The sequence below is a fragment of the Homo sapiens genome, chromosome 10, assembly GCF_000001405.40.
Source record: "Homo sapiens chromosome 10, GRCh38.p14 Primary Assembly".
Lineage (NCBI taxonomy): Eukaryota > Metazoa > Chordata > Mammalia > Primates > Hominidae > Homo > Homo sapiens.
Window position 1 is genome coordinate 96,310,880 of NC_000010.11, and position 18,776 is coordinate 96,329,655.

Genomic DNA, 18,776 nt, shown 5'->3' on the forward strand with positions numbered 1-18,776 from the left:
CAACATAATAAATATTTTATTTTTATAAATTCAAGAGCATGAGCATGAGATATAAGCTTTTTTCTTGCTCTGATCCAAATTACTTTGTATTTCAAAATTTGCGGCTTTAAATTAACAAAAAATTTCTTAATCCCATTTAAGGTGGGCCAAAAAAAATCGAGGCAAGATCGTCTCAGTCATAAGTACAGCAGGGCTGGAGACAGAAACCTGTCCTTAGTGGTGCTAGGTGCTAGTAAGAGTTTGCAATAAAACCAAACAAAACTGCATGATCTTTCTGTTCCAAGGATACTGAAACAGATCAGTTGCTAAGTGAAATTGGTAGAAGGGTTTTTAAACTGTAAACAGGTCAGTTTAACTGTAAATGACTATTTAAGTCACTGTTTACAAAATAAGTCCTATATCAGATGGGAAGAATCAGGAATGACCTCTCCCTGGGAAGAAGACAGCAGGTGACCATCCATGAGGATCCAGAAAGTCAGACAGAGGGTGGGAAGGAGTCTATACCCAGGCAAATAAAAATAGCTGCCACTTTCCTCCTGGAGGGTTTTTCTAATTATACTTCATGAGAGGCAGGATCAACTAGGAAAAGAAAGACAGGAAGAACAGGGAAATTATTGCCTGAGGGAAAAAATGCAGAACTGAAGTCTGTGAGTTAATTCCATAACCCAGGGCTTTTCAGACATCTGAGTGCCACAGTCACGATTCTTGTAATATCTTTTACCACATCTTTTATTATAATATATACGTAATCTGTTTATTTTGTTTGTTTATTTGTTTGGGGGGAGACAGGGCCTTGCTCTATCACCCAGGCTGGAGTGCAGTGGCACGATCTCAGCTCACTACAATCTCCACCTCCTGGGTTCAAGCGATTCTCGTGCCTCAGCCTCCCGAGTGGCTGGGATTACAGGCACGTGCCACCACACCCAGCTAATTTTTGTATTTTTAGTAGAGACGGGGTTTCACCATGTTAGCCAGGCTGATCTTGAACTCTTGACCTCAAGTGATTCGCCCACCTGGGCCTCCCAGAGTGCTGGGATTATAGGCATAAGCCACCACACCTGGCCAGTGTGTTTCTTTTAATTGTCCCTAAACTGACTCATTTAAAATAAAATTAGCCTTGTTCTAAGGAATAATATCCATAAAACCTATGATCTGAGATGCATAATTTAAAATACAGATATAAATAAACACATAAGCCTTTTAAATGTTCAATTGTGTACCTCCTAAAATTATGTCACGTACCTGCAGAGAAACGAGTACCATGTTGGAAAACACAGCTGTCATTGAGGCCAAAGGCTCGAGTGGGAGTCAAATCTAGGCTGGGGCAGTTCAATAGAAAAGATCTTTCTCTACAGTGGTGTTTCTCAAAGTGGAGTTCTTGGGCTGTGGGGTGGTTTTAAAACATAGGTCCTCCTGTGGAGAGGGAGGGGCAATTTCCCCGTCCTTTGCATCTGAGAGTGCTGGTGACTGATTCAACCAGTAAGGTACAGTGGAAATGAGACTGTGTGACTTTCCCTGGGACACAATCTCTGGGACCCCAGAGCCTCATGTAAGACATTGGCGCCTCCTCTTAGACCACATAAAGTTGCTTGGGTCCCCAGTCCCTAGTTGCACTGAGCCCAGCTTTCCAGCCATCCTCACCAAGGTGGCAGAATGTAGAACCACGGGGAACATCAGCACCTCAGCAGAAGAATACAGGGCAGAGAGATCACCCAGCCAAGCCTGCCTGAAGTGCTGACCCACGAAATTGTGAGATATAATAAAATAGTTGCCTTTTTAAGTCATTACATTTTGGGATCACTGGTTATGCAACAGTAGATAACGAAAACAGACTGACTATATCAGAATCACCAATGGAGCTTGTCAAAATGCATATTCCTGGGCCTCAGGTGCAATTCTCCAGGAATTCTGAAGTCTCATAATGGGACCCAGTAATCTGAATTTTAACCTAGCTTCCTGGATGTCTCTGGTAGACACTAGAGTTTGAGAGACATTCCTTTAGAGCTATTCATTCATTCATTCATCTATCCAGTCTACCGTCATCTTTTTACCATTACTATAAATCTGGCCATGTGCTGGGCTCCAGGCATAACCCAGAGACCATGCCACTGTCCCTGCTCTCAGGGACACCAAGGACCAAGCTGGGCACCTGACAGTCAAGCACTAGTTGAAGGAGGAGACCCTGAATCTTCTTCCCTGTAGGAGACTGAGGTACCAATGCCAGTTCTCTCAGAATTGCTATAATTTGTTCAAGACCTCCCAAACTTAGTCCAAAGCACTAACAATCGGTCATGGCCAAGAAATTAGGAGAAGATTGAATTCACTGATATTTTGGAAATAGCCATCTCAGCAGAACCTTGGGATCTCTGAGGTTGAGGTTGGCTGCCGGAGGGTTTCTGTCACCTTTTATTATAAGAAGGAAGCCAAGGTCTCTGTGGGCAAGGCAGAAACAACTTCAGCCTCAATCACAGATTCATTTGCCCTTGAAAATGACATTCATGTATATTTTCCCCCAAGTAGAAAAGTGACCATAGATAGTTCATTACAGAAAATGAGAAAATAAAGAAAAACATTTCAAACACACAAACAAAGCTCCCCTCAGGCATCTAACCACAGTCTAGCAGAACGTTAAGAGGTTGCTTGAGTCAGGCACACCTGGGTTTGAACCTCGGCTTCATGTAAGCTCCCCCAGGCTTGGTTTTCTCCTCTGTGATTACATTGCCTACTGTGCTAGGCTGTTGTGAGGATTAAGTAAGAATATGTGCACATGTGTGTATGTCATTATCATTATCTTTGCTAATAGTCACAAGTATTTCTTTCTAGTCTGATTCCCTTTATATGCCAGTATTTATTGTTGGTTACTTAATAGTGCCTTGAGCCCCATCCCATCTGTACTCCCCAGCATTCTAATGTCCCCATCAGAGGCAGGGCTGTGTCCAGAGGAATCCTAGGTGGAGAGATGGTGGCGATGGAGCAGCAGGGTAGGAGTGGATGGTGACAGGCCAGAATTTGGACGATGAGTCCAGGGCTCCCCCTTGACACGTCCATCTCCCTCAGAGGTTTAGGGAAAACCCAGAGCCCAGAGAGCCTGACAGCCTCCCTGTGGCTGCTCCGTCTTGATGTGTGGCTATGGCAACTGTTCTTTCAAGTTTTCTGGGGCAGTTCTACATGTCCTGTAGTCTAGTTTAGTCCATATAATATTGTACATAAAATAGCAAAACACAAATTCTATGTGGCAGCAGCAAGGCAATACGTTTACTGCTGTTATATAGGAGGTGCTATTCCATCTGTATTTCTGCCCTTGGGAGGAAATCGATTTTCTTATTATTATGATACCCATCCAGATGTTACTCCCTCTGCAACAAGAGGAAGTGAGCAGCTCCCTCCTTTTCCAAAGAACACAAAGTCATGGATGGCCAAGCACATAGACTTTGATGAGAACAGCCATAGGATCAAATCCCTGCTCCACCTACTAATTATTCGCTGGGTGAAATTTTTAACATTTCCAAGGCTATCTCTTCCCTTTTTTTTTTTTTTTTTTTTTTTTTTTTGAGATGGAGTTTCGCTCTGTCGCCCAGGCTGGAGTGTAGTGGCACAATCTCAACTCACTGCAACCTCCGCCTCCCAGGTTCAAGTGATTCTTCTGCCTCAGCCTCCCGAGTAGCTGGGACTACAGGCGCGTTCCACCACGCCCAGCTAATTTTTTGTATTTTTAGTAGAGACAGGGTTTCACCGTGTTAGCCAGGATGGTCTTGATCTCCTGACCTCATGATCTGCCCCCCTCAGCCTCCCAAAGTGCTGGGATTACAGGCATGAGCCACCGCGCCCAGCCTCTCTTCCCATTTTTAGATGGGGATGATCATATCTATCTCATGGCATTATTGATAATTAAATGAAGTGATGTATAAAGTGTGCCTACCAGAGTGTCTAGCATATAGTAATATTCTAATATTGTTAACATTTCCAGTATTGGAGTGTTCAGAGCAGAGAGAAAACCACTGTACCAGCAAATAGACAAACAGCTGCCACAAGATAGTGATAAGAAAGTATCAGCAGAGCACACTAGAGGCCATGGGTCTCCTTAGTAATACTGCTCGGTAAGGGCTCGGAGCTGAAAGTGAACAACACACAGAGACTGTGAATTGCCTGTGAGGGGCTGATGGCAACCCCGACACGAGGAAGCACATCACAGCCCAGATCTAGCTGGCCACATGCAGAGGATCAGCCGAACTCAGGCAACACAAGACGATGGGAAATACAGTCTGGGCCACAACAGAGATTCTCTCAACAAAATTTCTTAAATTATTTGTGGCAAAGGACCAGTTTTCAAAAAATGTGTTGAAGACCAATGCTTCTTTTTTTTTTTTTTTAAGCCACAATAAAACTATTTTGGTGATGTCAAATTACAATTAAAGTTTCTAAATGCTGACTTACAATTTCTGAACTTACCTTGTTGGGAACTAGTGGCAACCAATACTGAGCTCTGAGTAGCATTGGCTTAAGAGGTTTTGTTTGACTTTTTGGTTTTTGTGTGTGCTTAAGATTATTATTGCTCTTTTGTTTTGTTTGCTAGTTGCTTATTGAACAGGAAGTGGGAGTTTAAATCAGAGCCTTCCTTCATATGACGTACAGCCTGTCATCCACAAATTTGTTTGTATTAATTAAGAAATGCATATGGTTCTCACCCAACAATGTGAGCGCAGACATTCTCACACTGTCTCAGAGAATCCCAGGAGAAGAGGCAGTAGGGGGAGTGGTAAGAGTGTAGGTGGTTAGGGGTCCCAGGGTTCCTCTTTAACATACCCTTCTCCCTCTCAGGGTTAGGTAAAACTCTATTTATTGTAATAATATTATAATAAATAATAATGTATCATAAGTATAATAATATAATAATAATTTTTCCCTCCAAAAGGCAGAAATATAGATGGAAAATATAGATGGAATAACACTTCCTATTAATCCTTGATCCAAAGAATCCTTCAGGAATTTTATTATAAATAAATTTTGAAATAATATGGATCTACAATAGGGAAGTGGTTATCCATCTTCCTTTAATTCTTGTAGAATGTTGCTTTGCCATGACTTATTTCTGTTTAGGCACATCCTGCCATCCAGATGGTCTCAGCTCTGACCCCAGCCCACACCTCTCTCTGAGCACCAACCTCAGATCCCAACTGTCAACCAGATATTTTAATTTGGATCTCCTGCTGTCCTTCAAATGCGGCATGCCTGAAATAAACTTCAGTTCCACCGCTCCACCCCTTCCCCCAAAGAGACGCAACTTCCTAAATCTGATTTCTACCAAAAGTGCCATTACTTTACTGTGATTAATATGCTGGAGTAATATTTGACTCCCTCCCTGAATTCATCTTTCATAGGTGAGCTGATGCAGATGTCTACCATATTTCTCCTCTGCTTTTCTGTGCCAGACTGGGTTAAAATCATCTCACACTTACACAATCATTTCATCTTCCTAAGTAGTTCCGCAACCCTCCCTACCCCATTACGCTCCCCTCCAAATCACTGTATGTACCAGACTCGTCTTTTAAAATAACACTGTAGTGCTATCAATGTTCTGCTCACAAAAGCCTTCACTGGCTCCACAACCCCAGAAAATAAGATCAAACCTCCTCAACAGGCTTCTAAGACCTTCTAGAATGTAGTTGTCCCTACGAATTCAGCCACATCTACAATTACTTCCCAATATAAACTCTCCACTCCAACCCAGGCCATTCTCCTCCCTGTCCTTCTGGCCCCTGACCCTTTTCTTCCAGGAGAACCCTAAGTTCTGCCTTTTAGGTGTGTCATTCAGGACTAGACACAGTCCCAGCTCTGCCACCAACCAGCTGCCTCTCCCAGCTTACACCATGTTTTTTTCCTTCTCTGAACATGGCAGATCTTCATGCCTCATGTCTTGTCATAATTCACATCATAAGCCATCTGTTTCATGTAACATACTAGTGTCTAGTAACTTCCTTTTTCTTCTTTGGTACCCAACCTCCTCCTACTACCATCACCGCCACCACTATCACAAGGAATCTAGGGTTGTGCATATAATAGCAAATTTAAAAATACCTCATGAATCAGATTCTATCAAAAAAAGAAGATGGAGAAAGAGGAAATCAAGGAAACAAAATAGGAGGAGAAAGAGAAAATATTGCTATGTTTTCTCTTCGATGCTTGGGTATGCTGTGTGCTCATGCTATTGCTCAGATTTATAGACTATTTGAACTGAAAGGATCTTAAAAATCACTGGGTCCAATAATATAATGCTGAATGTGAAGACTTATTAAAAACTAGAAATAACATATCTGGCCCAGAAAAAACAATAAAAGAAAGATGAGTATCATTTACCAGCTGTGTGACTTTTAGAATGTCACTTGACCTCTCTGTTCCTCAGTTTCCTCATTTTTGAAGTGTGAATGATGTAACACTTATTGAGGAGCTAAATGAGATGATGTAGGTAAAGCACATGGCCAATGCCTTAAACATGGTAAGTGCTTAGTACCTGTTAAGAAAAAGATCCCTGTCCATGCTTCGAAAACATGTAAATCAAAATTTCTTGAAGGCTGGTTATAAATAATTAATTTATTGTTAATAATAAACTGTGAGATCATTTAATGGGGTGTTTCTATGGTCTGAATATTTGTGTCACCCCAAAATTCATAAATTGAAACCTAATCCCCAAAGCGATGATATTAGAAGGTGGGGCCTTTGGGAGGTGAGTAGGTTATGAGGGCTCCACCTAGTGAATGAGAAATTAATGTCCTTAAAAAAGAGGCCCGAGAGAGCTGCCTTCCCCTTCTGCTATGTGAGGACACACAGTGGGTGCCATCTATGAAGAATGGGCCTTCACTGGACACCATATCTGCCGACCCCTTGATCATGGACTTTCCAGCCTCCAGAACTGTGAGCAATAAGTTTCTGTTGTTTATAAATTACTCAGTCTAAGGTATTTTGTTATAGCAGCCTAAATGGATTAAGACAGTTGCTTAAACCATGTAAGCATAGCTACATCTGTACCTATTTCTATGTCTACTTTGGATCATAATATAAAACGTATTTCTAACTGTGGGTCACTGTCAAACAAGTTTGAAGGCCATTGGATTATTAAAGTCCTCCACTAGTAAAAATGGAGCAGCATGCCAAAACCTCATGTGGAATGCTAGGTGCTACTTTAAGAGCAGTTTTACCTTCCATCTTTTCTGGACCTTGGTTTTCCATCAACGCCTCAGTCCTGCTAATGTTGTCTTTATTGTTCGTGCATCTGACATGTAACCCGGACCACTGTTGCCATACTAATTAATGTAGAGAGAATTCCCTTGCATGGAGGCCTAAATTCTCCACACCTATGGTTAGGTCTAGCATGTGTCTTTCTCCATCAGATGGAATGCTCAGAAACCTTGAGGAAAGAGGAGAGCTTCTGATTTTGAAAGATGTTTCAGCTGGTAACTCTGTCTTGCATTTTGCAGTGATTCTGTCACCCACATCGTAGCAGAGAACAACTCGGGTTCGGATGTTCTGGAGTGGCTTCAAGCACAGAAAGTACAAGTCAGCTCACAACCAGAGCTCCTCGATGTCTCCTGGCTGATCGAATGCATAAGAGCAGGGAAACCGGTGGAAATGACAGGAAAACACCAGCTTGTTGTAAGTGTCATGGGTGTGATTTTCACTGTTCTTTGCTTGATGGTTAAGAACATAGGCTTAGGATCAACGGAGCTGGGGTAAACCCTAAATTCTCTGCTTACTACCTGTGTGACCTTGGGCAAGTCACTTAGCTTTACTGAGCTTCAGTCTCTTCCTTTATAATATGACATAACGATAATGCCAGCCTCACAAAATGGTCATGAAGATTAGAACAACACACATGTAAAGCGCTGAACACAATGTGTTGACTATAGCAGGCATCTAACGAGTGGTCGCTATTTTCCCGAACACATTTATACACAAATCTTTCAAAATATTTAAGCCTTGATATTCTAGCAGCCAGAAAAGCAGGAGATTCCTTTTTTTCTCTCACTGTGATCATTCAGAAAACAAAACAAAACAAAACAAACAAAACAAAAAGTTAAGCTCTCAATTCCAAATATTTGAGCAATTGTGCTAAAATCTTTGGGAAGAGGGCTTGGACCATAACTACAGAAGTTCATAGAAAACGAAGATGATATTTAATTGATAGGTCTTTTCATTTTTTTTTCTGATTTCAAAAATAATACGTGTTGATAATAGCAAGTTCAAATATTAGAGATGTATATAACATAAATTTTGAGTCTCCTATAATTTTATCCTCCAACTACAGACAACTACTTCCAAATTTTTTCCGTACATATCTGTTATTACTATTAATTTTTATTGAAAATGGATGCTTATGCATTTGTTTAGGTGAGAAGAGACTATTCAGATAGCACCAACCCAGGCCCCCCGAAGACTCCACCAATTGCTGTACAAAAGATCTCCCAGTATGCGTGTCAGAGAAGAACCACTTTAAACAACTGTAACCAGATATTCACGGTAACGGGACTTTACATCAACACCCAGGGCAAACGAAGGGCTTGCAGCTTCTTTCTGTGGACCGCAAATTAAATTATAAATTTTTCTGAAAACCTGGGAAAGTTTTCCTCCCACCTACCTGCAGCCCTAGCCTGATCTCTGATCCTTCTATCCTTCTTCTTTCTATCGAGACTGGGTCTCCTTCCTTCCTGGAAATAGACAAATACATTTAGGTTATATTCTTTAGAGACAGCGGATTACTATTTACAGATAGTTGTCATTAATGGGCGCAACACTTGTCAAAAGCAAATATTCTGAAAAAACAAATACTGGAATTAGTCCAAAACATAGTAAGAGCAAATTACATAGAAATGGTAACAATACATCAACAGCTTTTGCTGGGAAACCAAAAAATTGAGCAAACCTAGATTCCAGCCTTTCTGATATTCACTAGTTTGGGCAAGTCAATTTCTCTCTCTGAGCCTGTCTCCTCATCTATTCAAAAAGAAATTGGATGGATCATATCTAAAGCTCCACTCAGCCCTCAGATTGGTAATTGTGTTTTGAATGGCCCTAAAACCCACAACTGCTTGTCTGCTAGCCTAGAGTCAGTGGTTAGCTGGATGAAACATGTAGTAGTAGATCAATACAGAGCTTCTCATTTCTAGACTTCCAGCTCCATGTCTGTGTTGGAAAGACTAGGAAATTGTAGCTACTGGATATGCTGAGCATGAGATCACACAGCTACAGCTGCTTCCTCCCCTGCTAGAAATACAAACGTGCCCTACCTTAAATAATCCTGGCTCTGGGTCTGTGTGACCTACGACTACACTCATTCATTCAACAAGCCTGTGTTAAGTGCTGTGTTTCATGGGGCTGCTCAGTGATCAAGGCAGAATTCTAGCCACAGGCTAGTGGGAAGATAGTACAGAAGGAGGGATTATGCTGAGTCATGACTAGCAAGATGCTGTGAGCACCAAAGCATTTTTTAGTTAAATCATCTGTGAATGTTTAATAGCAGTGTACTCCAAGTTTCCGCATAATGCACTCTGGTACCTGTCTTTTCAATTCAACTCTACTCCATGACACCAGAGAGGCATACAAGGGTATGGGAGACCCCATCCTGACCTAGAAGGAAACACGCAAGTGGTATTCCAATATTTAAAGGAGAGCAAGAGGCGTTTGTGAGTGACCACTGGCTCAGGGGCTTGGAAGCAAATCTCCTGCTTATCTGGTTTTATCCTGCAGGATGCCTTTGATATACTGGCTGAAAACTGTGAGTTTAGAGAAAATGAAGACTCCTGTGTGACATTTATGAGAGCAGCTTCTGTATTGAAATCTCTGCCATTCACAATCATCAGTATGAAGGACACAGAAGGAATTCCCTGCCTGGGGTCCAAGGTGAAGGGTATCATAGAGGTAAGGGTGAAATGGGATTTGTCCCACTTCCCAATAGGTAGGTGGGAACGGGGGAGAGAGGGATGTAGCTAACAGATTTTCCTGTCAACTATGTAGATGTGGTGTACATCACAAATTTTCCTTTATACATATTCCTCTCTCTCTCCTCTGTCTCTCTCTCTCTCTCTCTCTCTCTCTCTCTGTTTATTTTTATACACATACACACACACATACACATATATATATGTTAGGGGTTGTGAATATCCTAGTCACATGGCACCAAAATACGTTAGTGGTGGCAGGTGTCAGAGTTACCGATAGTGAATCCGTTCGGGTCTGCAGCAACCCCAATTATTGCTTCCGCAGAAGAAAGAATTCGACTGGGGGGCATAAGGCAGAAAAAGAGACTGAGGCAAGTTTCAGAGCAGGAGTGGAAGTTTATTAAAAAGCTTTAGAGCAGGAAAGAAAGGAAAGTACACTTGGAAGAGACCCAAGTGGGCAACTTGGAGGACAAGTGCAGCGTTTGACCTTTTGACTTGGGGTATATGTTGGCATACTTCTGGGGTCCTGCGTCACTTTTCCCATGATTCTTCCCTTAGGGTGAGCCACCCGCATGCACAGTGCCCTCCTTGTGCTTGGGAGGGGAGCATGTGCAGTGTGTCTACTGGAGTTGTATGCATGCTCACCTGAGGCATTCTTCCCTTTTCCGGTGGAATGCTCCGGAAAGTCATAATCTGCCATTTTGTCTCTTAATGTGCATGCTCATGCCCACTCGCCCAATTCCTGAGATTTTAATGGAAGCTGCTGATTACCAATTTCAAGTGTTTTTATCTATTGGGAAATTGCCTCTCCCTGGCGCCAGTTGTGACTAATCATTTTATAGGGTGACAACTGCCAGACCATCACGGAATTGCCTCTCTCTAGCACTGGCTGCAACCAATTATCATTTTAGAGAGACAGTGTGATAACTCCTGGACCATCACCTGATGGTCGCCTGACATTCCTGGTTTGGAGGGGGGAGCCCTCTCCTGCCCTGCTCATGCCTGACTAGCTACCTACTCTAACATATAAATAGATACAGACGTGTTATTTATAATCCATACCCTAATATTATCACAGCTGGAGCTACATGGAACCAGCTAGTAGAAGCAGAACTCTCCCATACTGTTATTAATCACAGTGAAAGACTCAAGTGGCCTAAATCTTGACAGCAGGGAAATGGTCTGATTTCCCTCAGTTCCACCTGGGGGCGCCACCTTAGAGCAGTGGTGCGTTTGACATGAAGTGGAGGTGGTTCTACACCTCTCCAGGGAGAGCGCCAGAGGTTGTGCTTATTTACTGAACGGTGTTTAGGGATTCCCCAGCAAAGCAAGTTGGTCATCTGGTAGTAAGTTTCTGTATAGTCAAGTGCAAGGTATATTATTCAAGGACAATTATCCCAACTCTACTCAGAGGAAGGGGGCTCTGAGCTAGACATCACAAGGGCTTGAATGTAGATTGGCTTTTTGGTGGGTCCAAAATTAACCTTGTCAATGGAAAAGTCTTCTTATTTCAGTAAGGTCATATTCATTGAAGAGAAAATTATCACCAATATTTGGACATACATTTTTCAGTGAATATTTTGGTTTGGGATTCTGTAGATCTGGATCCTAACCATTTGTATCTTTGTTCCTAAGGATCGTAAAGGGGTCCTTGGATATATGATGAGCTAGCATTTTCAAGATTGTAGGGAAATGTCTTGTTTTCTCCAGATCAATTAGGGAAATACCCCTGCATGTGATGCATGCACATTTCATGAGAAACCAAACTACTAGGTCCATGAATTTGAGAGTCTTAGACAGTAATTGTCCAACATCACTAATTTAAAATATTTTTCAACTGTCCATTAGGAGATTATTGAAGATGGAGAAAGTTCTGAAGTTAAAGCTGTGTTAAATGATGAACGATATCAATCCTTCAAAGTAAGTGATTTTACATATATTTATTGAAAATTGTTTTTCAGTTAATCTTATTACTTATTCTGGCTGGTTGTATTAGTCAGCTTGGGCTGCAATAACAAAATACAGAGATGGCGTGGCTTAAACAACAGAAATTTATTTTCTCACCATTCTGGATCAAGATGTCAGCAGGGTCAGTTTCTGGTGAGGGTTCTCTTTCTGGCTTCTTCCTGTGTCCTCACATGCTCCCCTGCTCACATGGTGAGAGAGAGACAGAGAGAACAAGCAATCTTTCTGGTGTCACAAAGACACTAATCCTGGGCCGGGCACCATAGCTCATGCCTGTAATCCAAGCACTTTGGGAGGCCAAGGCGGGTGCACTTGAAGCCAGGAATTCGACCAGCTTGGCCAACATGGTGAAACCCCATCATTTTACAAAAATACAAAAATTAGGTGTGGTGAGGCATGCCTGTAATTCCAGCTACTTGGGAGATTGAGACATGAGAATCACTTGAGTCTGGGAGGCAGAGGTTGCAGTGAGCTGAGATCATGCCACTGTACTCCAGCCTGGGTGATAGAGTGAGACTGTCTCAAAAACAAGACAAACAAAAAGACACTAATCCCATCATGAGAGCCCCACTCTCATGACCTCAAAGGCCCTGTCTTAAATACGGTCATACTGGGGATTAGGACTTCAACATACAAATGGGTTGGGAGGGGGAATTCCGTCCATAGCTTTGGTCTAGGAAGAAAATGCCTAAATAAATTCAGGTGCCCAGATTATTGCCATGCTGTCGTGATGTACAAATTGCCTTACCCTCCAAGAGTCTGTCACTCATGGGTACAAACATCATGGGACATGAGGACCATGGGGGGGTTGGTGGGGACAGGACGGAACTGCTCTTAAAGAGCAGATTTGTGTCTGAAAATCTCCTTACTGCATCTTCATTTACTTGGAAGCAGGGTTTATTACCTCCCAATTTTCCCTACCTTAGAGTTGCAGGTGGAAGGGACTTCCACCAGTTCCTTCAAAGCAAAAGTGATGTACAGGCCTAAAATATGGCCATGAGCAGGAGCACAGGCTTGGAGTGTAAACAGACCAGGGTTTAAGTTTGGGCTGTGCCACTTCCCACCTGTATGATGGTGGAGAAACTATATAACCTACATGAGCATCTCTTTTCAAAATGTGAGGGTACCTATGCAGAGCATGAGTGTCGGTGAGAGACCCAGCAAAAGGGAGAGCCCTATAGAGCTAGCGTATCACTCATGGACAGCACAGGCAGGCCGTCAATTAGACTATACCTTAGCCCTGCACAGGTGCCAGAACCTGCTTGTTACTTCTGTTTCATTTTGTAATGCCACATGTCAAGAAAGGACTCACCTGAAATAAAAAATGCCCTTAAAAATAACCATCACCCACCTGCTCGTTATATTCAGGAGAAACTAGGTCAAAGATTTGCTTATACTTTTTCTTCATTGCCTGAGACCTAGAAAGGGTCATGACTCGGATGTTATAATGATTATCTTAGAGACTGATGGCATGCCTTTCCCTCCATTTTAGCTCTTTACTTCTGTATTTGGAGTGGGGCTGAAGACTTCTGAGAAGTGGTTCAGGATGGGTTTCAGAACTCTGAGTAAAGTAAGGTCGGACAAAAGCCTGAAATTTACACGAATGCAGAAAGCAGGTAAATTGTCTCTCCTAAAAGTCATTGTTGCTATGGGCTGGTCGGGTCGTGGTGGAGCTCTAAGTCAGTTACACTGCAACTCCAATCTGGGAGAGCTGGGACACTTCTTTGATGTCCATTGATGCTTGGATCTAAATCCTAGCTCCAGCAGTTTCCAGCTGTGTGATCTTGAGCAAGTTGGTTAAAACCTTTGAACCTTAGTTACCTAATCTATGAAAGAGAGATAACATTGATACTTAGCTGAGAAGTCAATCAGATAATGCAGGCAATGCCTCAGCACTGTGTCTGACACAGAGCAAAGGCGCCCTCCACTGTGGCTGTTTGTGGTCCTTCACCCAAATGTCAAGCCAGGTTGTGCTGCTGATCTGGTCCTTACTGACTCTTCCGGACATTGGGTCCTGGCTGTCTCCCTGGGTAAGAGTTGTGGGTGAAGAGTCAAAGACAGAAGGGTTGGCTGCTAAGAATACTTGAACAGAGTTGTTGCCTGGCACAAATGTGAAGATGCCCTAGAAACTGTAAAACACCAGGAAAATAGAAGGGAACTGGTGGAAATCTAGGCACAGGGTTGATATACCCAACCAGGACTCTTTCGCCTAAGACAAGACCGTGGTGGGACATGAGTGCTGTCATCACCCACCTGAAAGCCTGGCAGGGCCTCTCAGAGGTTGAAGGTAGCCTGGTCACTTCCATTTATGAGGCTCCCAGTAAGTTTTTTAAAAATGAAGGAATGGCAATACAGTGTGAAAAAAACTGTGTGTTTAAAAAAATGTTTACTTTTAACAAGCAATAAAAATACAATACAGTTGTGATTCAAAAAGGAGTCACAGCCATAGTCCCTACTCATTTTTTGTAAAGTTGCTAATCTTTGAAAGATTGCTAATAATACAATGCCACATAGGAAATAAAAGAGTCTAAGAAAAAAAGATCCAGTATTTATATTCCAGGACCCTGAAAGCACACGTTTAATAAGGATGATTTACACCAGTTCTCAAGATGCCATTCAAAAGAAATTTAAATAAGTATTAAACATAAGTAGCAAGTAAATGGTTTGGAATGATGAGTAAAGACTCTCAATGCTTAGAGAGAAATTGGGAGGCAATATAGTGTTTCATTTGGATGAAACCCTTATCAAATGACGTCCAGTGCTCTCAGGATCTAAGGGCTTCCAATTCCCTAGCTTTGTAAACTGGATTTTTGTTCTTCCTGTTGAGCTTTTCCAACCCTTTGAATGAAACAGCTTTATTCATTTAGTCAATCAGTGATTTCCATCTAACTGTTTAATGCTACCAGTTCTATGCAGAAATCAAGGAATGCCCTCCCATTATACTTATACCCCCACAAGTAGTTATAGGCACCCCTTGGAGCAGCACTACAATGAATGGAATTGCCAATGGGAATAGCTTAGAATACTGTGAAGGGTAAGCTAATTGAACATATTGAAAGGACAGTTCATGGTCAGATGGATAACCTGATCCAGTTTTACTCATATTTGCACTTGATTGCAGTTCCCTGAGGCTTGAGCGTGCACATGCCACGTTTGCCTTGAAAAGTCAGTTTATGAACTATAGCAGCACATATTTAACCTTATACTGTGTGATAAGTTTCCTGTAATAAGTTAGTCGCCTTGCCATACCAAAAAGGAAAGCCAATTAAATTACTTTCATGGATGTCAACAAATCATCATAGTCTTACATGTTCATTCCTGATAGCTGCACATCTTCTTAAAGAAATAGTTGTGAATCCTGACTTTTGGATCGTGTATATCACTGCATAAGCACAGGTGTTTGTGGTTACCCAGTGAGTTGTACTTTGAATATTAGTCATGATGACAGTTTCTGTATTACAGCCTAATAGAGCATTGCTTCTTAGATCAAACTCCTCATGCTCACAAAAATGGCCATGTTGCAATAATTTTTAGAAATGTGGCTTTTTAATAAAAATAAAAAATAAGTATCATATTGAAATAAAGAAAGTAGTGTTCCACAAGTGGCGTGGTTTGGTATTGGACACAGTTTATAGGTGTATTCATATGAATACCATTTTCTCTTGGTCTTGCCAGCATGTTTCCGTGACTGTCCCCATTAGAGATAACATGGGAAATTTGGCAGGGTGTGCAAGCCAAATGGCCACCCTGCTGCCTCCCTTCCACAATCCCAGGGTGAGAAACAAGGACCAATAGATTTACTCTTGTCATTTCAGAGGGCCAGTGGCAGGTGAAATCGCAAAGAAGTAGACTTAGGCTTTTCAAAAGAAAGAACTGGCACAACAGAGTTTACAATTAGGAAACAGGCTCCTCTGGAGGTATCAGAGTTCCCCATTATTAGAGTCAAGCAAAGTTTGAATGGCCCCCTCTTGGAGACCCTAGATAGGAGAGCAGCGATGCTGAAGCATGATTTGATGTCCCTCAGGCTCTATGGATCTAATCACCAGGCTCATCTCCTCACCAATACTTCACCCCAATCCTTGGAGATAAGCCTCCCTTCTCCTTTCCTCTTTCTTTCCAAATCTCCCTCCACACTGCTCTGTGGGAACCACCAAGTTAGCTTTTCATCATAACAACTCTGAACTTTCATTAATTCATGCTGGTCAGGCAAAGAAGCAACAAGCTAAACCACCTAAGATATTTCCTGCCTTGCTTCAGACACACATCTACTCTGCTCCTATTCTTGACTTTAATTTTTTAATGGATCCATCACCTTCCAACTCTAAATCTCCTCATCCCAAATCTTTATGCGTTACCTTTTAAAAAACAGTAGGACACAGCCTATTGATCAAGAAGGCTGGTTCTTCAGTAGGAAGTCAGATCTGAACAGTTTGGATTCCAGAGGGATGTGAAATATTGTCTCCTTCTCAGGAAATTGTAAGCCTCTAGGTTAGAAAGCAAAGAACCACTGTTACCCTGAAAAATTCACAACCAGGAGAACCACATGGACTATTCTGTCTCTGTGGGAATGGAGTTTGGTGTTGATGCCTGTAGTCATGTTAGCTCTATCGTGGGGACAGAATCCCCTTCTACTGAGGGCTGGTTGTTTCACACACGTGTCACTCTCTCCATTGACCTGTCAAATGGCCTCTCAGGATTTCTGTATTATGAAGACCTTGTCAGCTGTGTGACCAGGGCAGAAGCAGAGGCCGTCAGTGTGCTGGTTAAAGAGGCTGTCTGGGCATTTCTTCCGGATGCTTTCGTCACCATGACAGGAGGGTTCCGGAGGTAAATAACTTGGGTGGCTTTGCCTCCTCTGCCCGAATACTTCAGTGGCTCCCTGACTTGGACAGGCATCTGAAACGGCACAAAAGGCTGTGATCTGGTGCCAGCTTCTTTCTACAGCTTTATCTCCTGCCTCTCACATTTCATTTCAGCAACCCCAAATGGCTTGTCATCCCCTGCACATTCAGAGCTGTTTCTTGCCTGTTGCTTTGCTTACTCAGAATTTTCTGCTTTGACTGCCATTCCTCAAATTGTCGCTTGGCTGACTTCCCCTCATTCTTTAACACTCAATTTAGATGGCACCTTCTCCAGAAAGCCTTCCTTGACTCCCTCTTTCTCCATGCTGGATTAGTGCCCCTCTTCCATGCTCCCTGAGTACCTGCAAAGCCCTTGATCCACATAGTTACAGTGATTTGTTCCTGTGTGTGGTTTCTCCACTAAGTTTGTAGAGCTTAGTTCTCAGCAAGACTAGTTCATGATGCCTAGCACAAAGTAGGTGCTCAAGAAATCTTGGTTGAGTCAATAAATGACTGACTGAATGAATTCATGAATGAGTGAACGCTTCACAAGGATGTATGTTGTTGTTGGATATTGAGGCCTGCATTTCAGAAAGGGATTTCTTTCCTCCCACAGCCTCCTCTACCTCTTTCTCCAGCCCTCTCACCTGGTGGCTTTTGGCCATCCTAACAAAATAGGTTTGGGGCAAGGAAGAAAGTAAGAGAAGATCAAATCTAAGATAATGCCTTTACTCCATGTCATAATTCCAAGAGCGCTACCTTGTATTATGTGAATACAATTCTTAGTTTGCTTGTTGTCATGCTTGTCTCCATGTGTGTATGTGTGGGTGCATGTAGGTTTGTGTGAGTGTGTAGAATAAATAATTTTTTTGTTATTTTTTGCCTTGATATACATAATCAGATACATGCTATGTATGACTTTTTCTGTGTCATAAATTTATTTTGTAAGGAACAGCGATGTGTAACCAAGGATATTTTGTTTCTTAAAAAAAAGTCAAGAACCTTCTATGTTGCAAATCTTAAGCATAGGGCATAGAAACAAAGGTGATTTTTTAAAAATGAAGACTAATATCTAATTGATTTCCATTTTATACTGCTTTTGAAAATTAGGGGTAAGAAGATGGGGCATGATGTAGATTTTTTAATTACCAGCCCAGGATCAACAGAGGATGAAGAGCAACTTTTACAGAAAGTGATGAACTTATGGGAAAAGAAGGTGAGAAGAAAGATGAAAAATACATGCACACGCAAACATTATGTTAACACTTGAATTTTGCACATTACTTGCCTTATAATTGTGTAATGACCATCTAATCAATTCTCAATTATTTGTGGCAGCTTATACAAAGCCATATGACCTACAATAAGACTTTCCTGTTTTGGGTCCTAGAGTACATGTTATGAATATGTCCTGTATCTTGTTTATTATACTTACCCTATTGCCAACAGGGCCAAGGGTGGCTATGCATTTGTGTTTGACATGCAGAGGCATTAAAGCACCCAATCAAAGTGAAAAGTATGCACTATGAAGACCTGGGAAATGTAAGCTGGAAAGCTGCAAGCTTGGGTGAGGGGGCAGGACTGCAAAGACTGGGATAAAATCAGTCTAAGAGGTGTTGATAGTGCCTCGATAGATTCGAGGCACTTCGTGCTGAGATGGAATGAAGGAAACTAATGAGGGCAAGCTGAGCCCTGCAGAGGTCATGGCTCAGAAGCCCCCATACATTGCAGAGATCAGACTTGTGACAGGCCTATTGCCTGGTGGAGGAAACCAAAGTAAGCTAAGCTAACCCTGCAGCCAGAGCCACATGCAAGCCCTGACTCCTGTCCAACTCTAGTGAGAGCCTCACTTCCTAGAGAGACCAGAGGGTCCTACCCTTGGGACCTGTAGATAGGTCTGGCTGGGCTGGTGTTTCTCCTCACAGCTTCCTCCTTCCTGAGTAGTTTGCATCTGTTTGGTGTGGACCAAGCTTACTGATATCCCAGAAAAGGAAAACCTCAGATAAAGTGAAAATAAAAGCTAGAAACACAACCCTAGGGC

At 42.2% G+C, this 18,776-nt stretch overlaps 1 protein-coding gene across 2 annotated transcripts in view, besides 2 other annotated features; it reads left to right on the top strand.

Annotated features, from left to right (window-relative positions):
- The window catches only part of DNTT (DNA nucleotidylexotransferase), a 34,131-nt gene that overhangs the window by 6,446 nt on the left and 8,909 nt on the right, over nt 1-18,776 (top strand). For both annotated transcript variants that reach the window (NM_004088.4, NM_001017520.2), the window contains exons 2-8: nt 7,473-7,647; nt 8,383-8,511; nt 9,739-9,909; nt 11,778-11,849; nt 13,387-13,510; nt 16,589-16,721; nt 17,846-17,951. In NM_004088.4, the coding sequence (NP_004079.3) occupies nt 7,473-7,647; nt 8,383-8,511; nt 9,739-9,909; nt 11,778-11,849; nt 13,387-13,510; nt 16,589-16,721; nt 17,846-17,951 (910 nt within the window). The remainder of the gene's footprint in view (nt 1-7,472; nt 7,648-8,382; nt 8,512-9,738; nt 9,910-11,777; nt 11,850-13,386; nt 13,511-16,588; nt 16,722-17,845; nt 17,952-18,776) is intronic.
- Nucleotides 13,381-13,942: an enhancer, noted in NCBI's record as "NANOG hESC enhancer chr10:98084017-98084578 (GRCh37/hg19 assembly coordinates)". NCBI's record gives its function as "activates a minimal SCP1, AML or CMV promoter by ChIP-STARR-seq in naive H9 embryonic stem cells {active_cell/tissue: H9 hESC(naive)}" and the evidence as "EXISTENCE:reporter gene assay evidence [ECO:0000049][PMID:30033119]".
- Nucleotides 15,057-15,126: a silencer, noted in NCBI's record as "silent region_2653". NCBI's record gives its function as "represses an Ori minimal core promoter by ATAC-STARR-seq in GM12878 lymphoblastoid cells {active_cell/tissue: GM12878}" and the evidence as "EXISTENCE:reporter gene assay evidence [ECO:0000049][PMID:35858748]".